This window comes from Homo sapiens, chromosome 9 (assembly GCF_000001405.40).
Source record: "Homo sapiens chromosome 9, GRCh38.p14 Primary Assembly".
In the NCBI taxonomy this organism is placed as follows: domain Eukaryota; kingdom Metazoa; phylum Chordata; class Mammalia; order Primates; family Hominidae; genus Homo; species Homo sapiens.
This window is the reverse complement of record NC_000009.12, coordinates 15228315-15240584: the sequence shown is the minus strand read 5'-3', so window position 1 is coordinate 15240584 and position 12270 is coordinate 15228315. Positions and strand designations below refer to the sequence as shown.

Sequence of the window (12270 nt, the reverse complement as noted above, 5' to 3'; positions counted from 1 at the left end):
CTTAAATTACTCAAAATATATGCTTAACTTTTTTCATTATTGTTAAAATGGTACATTATCATTTTTGAAAAAATTGAAAAAAAAACATTGAAAAGTACAAAGAATCTAAAGATTACCCACGCCCTACAAATAATACTAAGGGTTACAGTTTTGATTGAGGAAGGCTTTGTAAGAAGTCTAAGCATAGATTATTTAGGGAGAAGTTTATCTAGTTTATCTATTCGCCAGTTTCTCGTTTAATAGAACAGTTATATCCTTTGTTGGTGCTTGCCCTTTGGCCTTTTTCAGCTGTTTTTCCTTCGTGAGGAACAGGGCCAGAGTGGAGAGAAAAAGTTGAAAGTATATTCCTTTGATTCTGAATGCACTGGTGACAGGCCTGGCAAAATGGGATTGGAGTTGGCAGTAAAATGATACTTGGGGAGTATCTTTTTATTTTTGGGCTCTTCTTGCTTTCTCATTGTCAGCAGCAGCACCTCCTCCTTCCTCTGATCATCGGCCATGAGAACAGCTCTTTGAGGAATCATCCTTGGGCAGAATTTGGTCTGGGAAGCAGTTTTTTTTAGTAAGAAAGACAAATGTTGTCTATGTAGCTAATACTATTAAGCAATAGATTTCCAGTGGTGTGTCAGAGTCCTGCATTTCATAATTCTAGTGGATACCATTTTTTATTTTTAAAGTTTTAGATTTGAAGGTACATGTGCATGTCTGTTACATGGGTATATTGCATAATGGTGGGGATTGAGCTTCTAGTGTACTCATCACGCAAATATTGAACATTGTATCTAAAAGGTAATTTTTCAACCTTCACCTCCATCCTCCCTCCCCTCTTTTGGAGTACCAAGTGTCTGTTATTTCCATCTTTATTTGCATTTGTACCTATTGTTTAGCTTTCAGAAGTGAGAACCCATGGTATTTGATTTTCTGCTTCTGACTTATTTCATCTAGGATAATGGCTTCTAGCCATTCAAGTTGCCGCAAAGATGATTTCATTCCTTTTTGTGGCTACATAGTATTCCATTCTGTATCTATTCCACATTTTCTTTATCCAGTCAACCATTGATGGACACCTAGGTTGGTTCTATGACTTTGCTATTGTGAATAGTACTGTGATAAACATATGAGTGCAGGAATCTTTTTTATATAATGATTTCTTTTCCTTTGGGTAGATACCAGGCAGTGGGATTGCTGTCTCAAATGGTAGCACTATTTTTAGCTCCTTGAGATATCTTCATACTGTTTTCCATAGAGGTTGAAGCAACGTTTGTTCCCACCAACAGTGTACAAGTGTTCCCTTTTCTCCATAAGCAATCCAACATCTGTTGTTTTTTGATTTTTTAATAATAGCCATTCTGACTGGTATAAGATGATATCTCATTGTGGTTTTAATTTGTGTTTCTCTGATGATTAGTGATGTTGAGCATTTTTTTTTTCATGTGTTTGTTGGCCTCTTGTATTATTTTATTTAAGAAATATCTGTTCAGGCCTTTTGCCCAGTTTTTAATGGTGTTGTTTCTTTCTTGTTGAGTTGTTTGAGTTCCTTGTAGATTCTGGATGTTAGTCTTTTGTCAGAGGCATAGTCTGCAAATACTTTCTTATTTTTGAGACAGGGTCTCACTCTGTCACCTGGGCTGAGTGCAGTGGTGCGATCTTGGCTCACTGCAACCTATGCCTCCCAGACTCAAGTGATCCTTCCACTTAAGCCTCCTTAGTTGCTAGGACTACAGGCATGTGATACCACGCCCAGATAATTTTCATATTTTTTGTAGAGACAGGGTTTTGTCGTGTTGCCCAGGCTGGTCTTAAACTTCTGAGCTCAAGTGATCAGCCCGTCTCAGCCTCCAAAAGTGCTGGGATTACAGGCATGAGGCACCACACCCAGCCAATATGGTCATTTTAATGATACTGATTCTTCCAGTCCGTGTGCATGGGATGTTTTTTCCATTTGTTTGTATGATCTGTGATTTCTTTCATCAGTGTTTTGTTGTTCTTCTTGTAGAGATCTTTTACCTCCTTGGTTAAATGTATTCCAAGGATTTTTGTTGTGGCTAACATAAATGGGATTCAGTTCTTGATTTGGTTCTCAGCTTGAACATAATTGGTATATAGAAATGCTACTGATTTTTGTACGTTGATTTTGTATCTTTACTGAAGTTGTTTATCAAATCTAGGAGTCTTTTGGAGGAGTCTTCGGGGTTTTCTGTCTTTTTGGGAGGAGTCTTTGGGGCTTTCTAGGTATATGATTATGTCATCAATTAACAAAGATAATTTGACTTCCTTTTTTCCAATTTGGATGCCTTTTATATCTTTCTCTTGCCTGATTTCTTTGGCTCGGACTTCCAGTATTATGTTGAATAAGAGTGGTGAAAGTGGGTGTCCTCATTTGTTTCAGTCCTTAGGGGAAATGTTTCAACTTTTCCCAATTCCATATGATGTTGGCTGTGGGTTTGTCATATATGGCTCTTATTATTTTGAGGTATGTTTCTTTGATGCCTGGTTTGTTGAAGGTTTTTATCAGGAAGGCATGTTGGATTTTATCAGTTGTTTTTTCTGTGTCTATTGAGATAATCATACGGTTTTTGTTTTTAGTTTATTGATTTGCATATGTTGAACCATCCTTGCATACCTGGAATAAAGCTCACTTGATTGTGATGAATTATATTTTTGATGTGTGTTGGATTCAGTTTGCTAGTATTTTGTGGAGGATTTTTGCATCTGTGTTCCTCAGGGATATTGGTTGGTAGTTTTCTCTTTTTGTTGTGTCCTTGTCTGATTTTAGTATCAGGGTGATCCTGGATTCACAGAAGGTGTTATTGCACCTCCTCAAATTTTTTGTAATAGTTTCACTAAGATTGGTAGTAGCTTGTCTTTATATGTCTGGTAAAATTTGGCTGTGAATGCATCTGGTCCTGAGCTGCTTTTTTTTTTTTTTCCAGAAGATTTTTTATTACTAGTTTAATTTCATTACTTACTTATTATTGGTCTGCTTGGGATTTCTTTTTCTTTCTGTTTCAATCTTGGGAGTTTGTATGTTTTCAGGAATTTATCCATTTCCTCTAGGTTTTCTAGTTTGTGTGCATAAATGAGTTCATAGGAGTCTCTTATGATCATTTGTATTTCTGTGGTATTGGTTGTAATATCACCTTTATCATTTTTGATTATGCTTATTTGAATCTTCTCTTTTATTTTCTTGGTTAGTCTAGCTAATGGTCTGCCAATTGGTTTATCCTTTTGAAGAACCGACTTTTCGGTTCATTTATTCTTTTCTTTTTTGAGATGGAGTCTTGCTTTGTTGCTCAGGCTAGAATACAGTGGCATGATCTTGGCTCACTGCAACCTCCGCCTCCCGGGTTCAAGTAATTCTCCTGCCTCAGCCTCCCAAGTAGCTGGGGCTACAGGCATGCACCACTATGCCCTGCTAATTTTTGTATTTTTAATGGAGATGACGTTTCGCCATGTTGGGCAGGCTGGTCTCAAACTCCTGACATCAGGTGATCCATCCGCCTGGGCCTCCCAAAGTGCTGGGATTACAGGCATGAGCCACTGTGCCCAGCCAGTTTATTGAGTCCTTGCCTTTTTTTTTTTGTCTCAATCTCATTTAGTTTTGTTCTGATCTTTGTTATTTCTTTTCTTCTGCTAGCTTTGGGTTGGTTTGTTCTTGTTTTTCTAGTTCCTTGAGTTGTGATGTTAGGTTGTTAATTTGAGGTCTTTCTGTCTTTCTGATGTAGGCGTTTAATTAATGCTATAAACTTTCCGCTTAGCACTGCTTTTGCTGTGTACCAGAGGTTTTAGTATGTTGTGTCTTTGTTTTCATTCATTTAAAAGAATTTTTTTATTTCTGCCTTAATTTCATTGTTTACCCAAGAGTTGTTCAGGAGCAAGTTGTTTAGGTTCCATGTACTTGTATAGTTTTGAGAGTTCTTCTTGGGATTGATTTCTAATTTCATCCCACTCTGGTATGAGAAAATACTTGATATGATTTTCATTTATTTGATTTTATTGAGACTTGCTTTGTGGCTGAGTATATGGTTGATTCTGGAGAATGTTCCATGCACAAATGAAAAGAATATATATTCTGTGGTTGTTCAGTAGAATGTTCTATAAATGTCTTTTAGGTCCATTTGGTCTGTAACCCAGTTAAGTCCCAAGTTTCTTTGTTGATTTTCTGCCTCGATGATCTGTCTAGTGATGTCAGTGGAGGTGTTGAAGTCCCTCACTATAATTGTATTGATATCAGTCTATTCTCTTAGGTCTAGTAGCATTTGTTTGATAAATCTGGGTGCCCCAGTATTGGTTGCATGTATATTTAGAATAGTTAAATCTTCTTGTTATATTGAATCCTTTATCATTATACATAATGTCCTTCTTTGTCTTTTTTTACTGTTAGTTGGTTTATGTCTGTTTTACTTGATATGAGAATAGTCACTCCTGCTCACTTTTGTTTTCCATTCTCATTTTATGTCTTCTTTCTCCCTTTTACTTTGAGTCGAAAGGTATCTTTAGCCAGTAGGTGGGTCACTTGTAGGCAGCAGATGGTTGGGTCTTGTATTTTTTTTAAAAAACTAGTTTGCTACTCCGTATCTTTTAAGTGGGGCATTTAGGTCATTTACATTTAGGTTAGTATTGATATGTGAGGTTTTATTCCTGTCATAGTGTTGTTAGCTAGTTGTTTTGGAGTTTCAATTGTGTAGTTGTTTTATAAGATCTGTGAGCTTTGCACTTACGTGTTCTTTTATGATGGTGAGTATTGTCCTTTCATTTCCATGTTTAGAATTCCCTTCAGCATTTCTTGTAGGATAGGTCTTGTGGTGACAGATGCCCTTAGTATTTGCTTGTCTAGAAAATATTTTATTTCTTCTTCATTGATGAAGCTTAGTTTGGCAGGATGTGAAATTCTTGGCTGGCATTTTTTTTTCTTTAAGGATGCTAAAAATAGACCCCAATCTCTTCTGGTTTGTAGGGTTTCTGCTGAGAAGTTTGCTGTTAGTCTGATGGGTTTTCCTTTGTAGGTGATTTGACCCTTCTTTCTAGTTGCCTTTAAAATTTTTTCTTTAGTGTTGACCTTGGATAGTCTGATGACTATATGCCTTGGTGAAGTTCGTCTTGCATAGTGTCTTGCAGGTGTTCTCTGAATGTCTTGTATCTGTATGTTCACCTCTGTAGAAAGATTAGGGAGTTTCCTGAATTATTCCCTCAAATATATTTTCCAGGTTGCTTACTTTTTCTTCTTCCTTCTCAGGAATGCCTATAAGCCATAGGTTTGGTTGCTTTGCACAATCCTGTATGTCTGAAATGCTTTGTTCATTTTTAAAAATTCTTTTTTCTTTATTTTTGTTTGGGTTAATTTGAAAGATGGGTCTTCAAGCTATTTTTTAAAAAATTATTAGTTGGTGATATGAATTGGAGGTCTTTAAGCTCTGAAATACTTTCTTCTGCCTGGTCCAGTCTATTGTTAAAACTTTCAACTGTATTTTGAAATTTCTTAAGTGAATTTTTCATTTCCAGAAGTTCTGTTTTTTGTTTTGTTTTGTTTTGTTTTTGTTTTATTTATTTATTTATTTATTGATCATTCTTGGGTGTTTCTCACAGAGGGGGATTTGGCAGGGTCATAGGACAATAGTGGAGGGAAGGTCAGCAGATAAACAAGTGAACAAAGGTCTCTGGTTTTCCTAGGCAGAGGACCCTGCGGCCTTCCGCAGTGTTTGTGTCCCTGGGTACTTAAGATTAGGGAGTGGTAATGACTCTTAAGGAGCATGCTGCCTTCAAGCATCTGTTTAAGAAAGCACATCTTGCACCGCCCTTAATCCATTTAACCCTGAGTGGACACAGCACATGTTTCAGAGAGCACAGGGTTGGGGGTAAGGTCACAGATCAACAGGATCCCAAGGCAGAAGAATTTTTCTTAGTACAGAACAAAATGAAAAGTCTCCCATGTCTACTTCTCCCTACACAGACACGGCAACCATCCGATTTCTCAATCTTTTCCCCACCTTTCCCCTCTTTCTATTCCGCAAAACCGCCATTGTCATCATGGCCCGTTCTCAATGAGCTGTTGGGTACACCTCCCAGACGGGGTGGTGGCCAGGCAGAGGGGCTCCTCACTTCCCAGCAGGGGCGGCCGGGCAGAGGCGCCCCTCACCTCCCAGACGGGGCGGCTGGCCGGGCGGGGGGCTGACCCCCCCACCTCCCTCCTGGATGGGGCAGCTGGCCGGGCGGGGGGCTGACCCCCCCACCTCCCTGCCAGATGGGGCGGCTGGCTGGGCGGGGGGCTGACCCCCCGACTTCCCTCCCGGATGGGGCGGCTGGCCTGGCGGGGGCTGACCCCCACCTCCCTCCCGGACGGGGTGGCTGCCGGGCAGAGACGCTCCTCACTTCCCAGACGGGGTGGCTGCCGGATGGAGGGGCTCCTCACTTCTCAGATGGGGCGGCTGCCGGGCAGAGGGACTCCTCACTTCTCAGACGGGGCGGCCGGGCAGAGACACTCCTCACCTCCCAGATGGGGTCGCGGCCGGGCAGAGGCGCTCCTCACATCCCAGACGGGGCGGCGGGTCAGAGGCGCTCCTCACATCCCAGACGGGGCAGCGGGGCAGAGGCGCTCCCCACATCTCAGACGATGGGCGGCGGGGCAGAGACGCTCCTCACTTCCTAGATGGGATGGCGGCGGGGAAGAGGCGCTCCTCACTTCCTAGATGGGATGGCAGCCAGGCAGAGACGCTCCTCACTTTCCAGACTGGGCAGCCAGGCAGAGGGGCTCCTCACATCCCAGAGGATGGGCGGCCAGGCAGAGACGCTCCTCACTTCCCAGACGGGGTGGCGGCCGGGCAGAGGCTGCAATCTCGGCTCTTTGGGAGGCCAAGGCAGGCGGCTGGGAGGTGGATGTTGTAGCGAGCCGAGATCACGCCACTGCACTCCAGCCTGGGCACCATTGAGCACTGAGCGAACGAGACTCCGTCTGCAATCCCGGCACCTCGGGAGGCCGAGGCTGGCGGATCACTGGCGGTTAGGAGCTGGAGACCAGCCCGGCCAACACAGCGAAACCCCGTCTCCACCAAAAAAATACGAAAACCAGTCAGGCGTGGCGGCGTGCGCCTGCAATCGCAGGCACTGGGCAGGCTGAGGCAGGAGAATCAGGCAGGGAGGTTGCAGTGAGCCCAGATGGCAGCAGTACAGTCCAGCTTCGGCTCGGCATCAGAGGGAGACCGTGGAAAGAGAGGGAGAGGGAGACCGTGGGGAGAGAGAGGGAGAGGGAGAGGGAGAGGGCGAGGTTTTCTTCTCCCTTCTCCTTGTCGCCGTGTGTTCCGGTGTCATGGCACCGGCCAGGTGGAAACCACATCTGCGGATCATTGGGAATGTTGGCCATGCTTCTCGAACCAGTTTTCTCTCACGGAGGACCTAGCCGTCGCGTGGGGCTAGAAAAGGTCCTGAAGCAACTGAAGATTTCTCGCCAGGGCTACACCCTGGTGTTATCTGAAGGCTTCTGGACTGACCCCGCCTCCAACTGCCCGGCTGGGTGTCCGCAACAGGATCTACAGCTGTCCTATCGCAAAATTTCCTCTTTCCCTATCCACAAATGCCATGTCTCCTATCCTCTCTGTGTATGCAGTGTTTGAGAATTTTTATAGTTCAGGGAAAGAGTCCCCAGAGTGTTCGAACCGTGCCTGAGCGGCCGCCGTCGTCTCCCGGCACCACTGGCCCTGCAGCAGCCAGTTGAGAAGGGCGGAGGCTGATTCCAATGAAGTGGCAGAACGTTAGGCGGCCTCTCCAAAAAGCCAGCTACGTCGCCGTTAGCCAAGGTTTGAGGGTCTTCTCCTTCTCTTCGAGGGCCCAACCTCCCCTCCAGATTTAGTACACCAGAGGCGTCGCAGCAACGGCTGCTGCCTGCGCGCCTCAGCTAGGCGGGCTCTGTTTTTGTTTTTTAAAGGATATTAGTCTCTTCCCTCATTTCTTGGATTACTTTCTTGGTTTCATTGTGTTGAGTTTTCAACCTTTTCTTGGATCTCATTGAGCTTGCTTGCAGTCCATACTCTGAATTATTTATCTGCCGTTTCTGAGTTTTTATTTGGTTAAGGTCTGTTGCTAGACAGCTAGTGTGACCCTTTGGTGATGTCACAACATTTAGATTTTTCATGGTGCCAGAATTTTTATGTTGGTTTCTTCTCATCTAGAGAGGCTACTGCTTTTTCTTTTTGAATTTATTTTCATTTAGATGGGCGTCCCCCCCACCTCCCGTTTCCACCTCTTCTAGGGGTGTAACTATAGCGTTAGTATGTTGGGTAGGGTCTTTTGGGTTCGCTTCTAAGGCCCTGCGCGATTCTGTCTGCAGGTTTTATATTGGTCTGTGCAGTTTGACCTGGAGGTCAGTAGGTGGCGCCTATGGGTAAGAGCCATTTGCCGCACAAGCAGATGGGTATATACTTGATTTTTATTTACTGTGATGAGACCTCTGTTGTTTCAGGTGATGAGCTGGACAGAGGAGTGCCTGGTGCCTTGAGGTTCTTGTTCAGGTTGGGGAGGGGGGACATAGCTGGGCAGAACTGGATTCCCTAGCTTGCCCATGAGTATCACAGTGACGAGCTCAAGCTCCAGCCCTGGTGGGGGTGACTCGGGGGAGCTCCTGGTGAGATGTGCCAAGGTCTCTGCAGGATTTGAGAGGGCTCCACTGGCTTGATGGATACCATTTCGACTCTAGATTACAAACATGGTGGCTTCCAGAGCACATCAGTTGGCCTATCTACACTCATTCCTTTTCTCCCCTAAGGAGAGATTTTAACGTTGATGGAAAACCTTGAAGGACATATTTTTATTCATTTTTGAAATTTTATTTTAGTTTTAAATATGGACTAGCTTTTATCTCATTGCGCAGGAACATAACATATTGTGTTGGATTTATTGGGGAAGTTAAATTTGAATTGGCTCTGCTATCTATGATTTGATTGAGAGAAAAAGTATAAACAAAGATAGCTGTAAGCTTTACCCTCGAAAATAGTTGTACCTAGTGATTAAAATTAGAGCAGTATTCAAATGAATAATAAAAAGATAAGTAACTCAATTAAAAATGGGAAAATAATCTGAATAGACATTACTCCAAAGAAGACATACAATTGGCCATTAAGTACTTAAAAAAGATTCTCAACATTATTAGTCATTAAGCAAATGCACACCAAAAACTACAGTGAGATACCACCATATCTCATGGACAAAAACAAGTATTGGCCAAGCTGTTAAGAAATTGGGAATCTAGTACATTATTGGTGGGAATATAAAATCACATAGCTGGCCGGGCATGGTGGCTCATGCTGGTAATCCAAGCACTCTGGGAGGCTGGGGTAGGAGGATTGCTTGAGCCTAGGAGTTCAAGACCAGCCTGGGCAAGATGGCAAGGCACCATTTCTACAAAAAATAAAAATTAAAAAAATCGGAAAAATCACACAGCCACTTTGGAAAACAGTCTAGTAGTTCTTCAAAATGTCAAACATAAAGTTACCACATAATGTAGCAATTCCACATACCATAATTTAGCATTCCATAGCAATGCTAGATATATAATTAAGAGAAATGAAAATACATGTCCACACAATAACTTGTTTGTTTTTTTTTTTTTCTGAGATGGAGTCTCACTCTGTCACCCAGGCTGGAGTGCAGTGGCACAATCTTGGCTCACTGCAACCTCCGCCTCCCGGGTTCAAGCAATTCTCCTGCCTCAGCCTCCCGAGTAGCTGGAATTACGGGTGTGCACCACCATGCCTGGCTAATTTTTGTATTTTTAGTAGAGATGGAGTTTTGCCATGTTGGCCAGGCTGGTCTTGAACTCCTGACCTCAAGTGATCTGCCCTCCTCGGCCTCCCAAAGTCCTGCTGGGATTACAGGAGTGAGCCACCATGCCTTGGCCAAGAACTTGTACATGAATGTTCATAACAGCATTATTCGTAATGGCCACAAAATGCAAATTATTCATATATTATCAACAAATGACTAACAAAATGTGGTATAGCTATACAATGGAATAATATTAGGTAATAAAAAGGAATAAAGTACTGTTACATGATACCACATGAATGAATCTTGAAAACATGCTAACTGAAAAAGCCAAGCATAAAGACCATACTTTTTATGATTCCATTGATATGAAATGTCCAGAATAGGCAAATCTATAGACACAAAAAGTAGATTAGTGGTTGTTTAGGACTAGAGGAGGTGGAGTGGAGAATGAGGAGTGACTGCTAATATATGGATACATTTTGGTGACAAAATATTATAAAATTAGATTGTGGTGATAGTCTGTGAATATACTAAAAACCATTGATTGTAAACATTAATTGGGTGAATTTTATGGTCTGTGAATTAGGTCTGAATAAAGCTGTTTAAAAACTTAAAAGTTAGAGCCGTTAAAATAGGGCAAAATAAGGGCATATATTCCAATGTACTAATAGCTGTAATTGAAGTTTGGTGTGTTATTTTTCGTAGCCTCCAGTATAAAGATTTAGCATGGCTCTTTTGCAAGGGTACATGCATATCAGTGCAGTGTTCAGATATTAAAAGCCTTTATTGAAGGAAATAAGAGAAGACCTGAATAAATGTGTAAAGATGTGAAGATGCAATGTTATAAAGACAACAATTCTCTGTAGATTTCCTAATAATGTAATGAATTCCCAGTCAAAACTCCAGCAGGACTTGCTTGTAATATTATAATGACTAACTCTGAAATTCATAAACAAGAATGTAGGTGTAATAATAACAACCCCACAAAAAGAGTGTTTAATAAAGTAGAGAACTTGCCCCAGTTGGCTTACAGGTCTCGGAAAGCCATGATAATAAAAACGGTGTGACTAGTGCAGAGAGAGGCAAATATGTGATGGAACAAAAGAATGCCCAGAAACAGACCTGAGCACGTATGGAAAATTGCTGTGTGTAAGAGATTGCAGAATAATCCAGTATGTCAAAGTATCATAATTATGGAATCAACGCATGTCAGTGAGGAAATCAGCAAGATGGTAAACCTGGTAACAGCATTTGGAGAACTGAGGAAAGAAAAAGTGTTGAAATAAGGTTTGTTATGCACAACACTGGTTAACCTCCGGCAAGGTAATAAAACCATAATCTTACCACACAGAAATTATTTGCATATCTACCAGATTAAAAAATCTACAAGTTAACATAATTTTACAGAGTATAGGTTTTAATAGTAAATAGCAAGCCAAACAAGATATATACTCCCTAGGGAATTAAATGTTCCTTGGGTGGGCCTGTCAGACAGTGCTCCAAGGTGACCTTGAGAGGACATGCAGTCTTCCTTTTGCCTTGTTTCCAAGCTCTTATAACAAGTAGATGAGTTATTTCTTGCTTATCCATGCAGGAAAGAATTAAATGTAGCTCAGACTGTACACAAAAATGGATTCTAGATTATATTTGTGTGTTTGCAATAGTATTTTCTCTACTTTATGTATTTGAAGCATTTCTTATTAATGAAATGAGAAAATGCATTCTTAAAACACTAGACAGTACTTTCAATAAATGGGTTATGTCTATATCTAAAAAAATCCTGTTTAATAAAAAAATTAGTTTGTGGCATGATATGCTTATTGTGATATTAACATAAATCTAGAAATACTGTAGAATTTCCATGAATTCGTGTACATGTGTATACAAACATAAAGAACTTGAAGAATCTGAATCTAATCTTTTATACCTCAGAAAAGATGAATAAAATGTAACATTATTTTGTTAATAATTATTATATTCTGCTAAAGTCAAGTCTGTTGTGCCAGGTAAAGATACAATAATTTTAGCTTTTATTAACAGATTAATTTAGGCACAGTAATATTTTAACTAGTTTGTTTGAGCATAAGTGATTCCTGAATTGAATATCATTAGAACACAAGCAGTTCAGTGTTCTACTTAAGGAGTGGGAGGGGGAAACTTATGAAGTATTTAAAGAAGCAAGACAAATAAAATACTTGACTGGAACAAGTGGGAAGTTCTTAGTTAGAGGTGAGTTGGCGGTTTCTGATTGGCTAAGCTTAAGTTTTGTTTTTACTGTTTACGGTGAGTTGAGTTTCCATTTGCTCGTATAGGAACCATCTTTGCTGAAGGCCTCCCAATTCATTATTACTGTTTTTATTTTTTGAGATGGAGTGTCACTCTTGTCACCCAGGCTGGAATGCAGTGGTGCAATCTTGGCTCACTGCAACCTCCGCCTCCCGGGTTCAAGCAATTCTCCTGTCTCAGCCTCCTGAGTAGCTCGGATTACAGGCACCCACCACCACGCCTGGCTAA

The 12270-nt window shown here is 41.5% G+C and overlaps 1 protein-coding gene across 13 annotated transcripts in view; it reads left to right on the top strand.

Annotated features, from left to right (window-relative positions):
- TTC39B (tetratricopeptide repeat domain 39B) overlaps positions 1-12270 on the top strand; it is a 143595-nt gene that overhangs the window by 66632 nt on the left and 64693 nt on the right. Inside the window, exon 1 of one of the 13 annotated variants that reach the window (XM_011517732.3) lies at positions 7258-7790. The exons of 11 other annotated variants lie outside the window; for them this stretch is intronic. The gene's annotated coding sequence lies outside the window, so the exon portion shown is untranslated. Of the gene's footprint in view, positions 1-7257; positions 7791-7857; positions 8354-12270 lie in introns of those variants that run through there. One more of the 13 variants, XM_024447424.2, reaches the window with a different exon arrangement.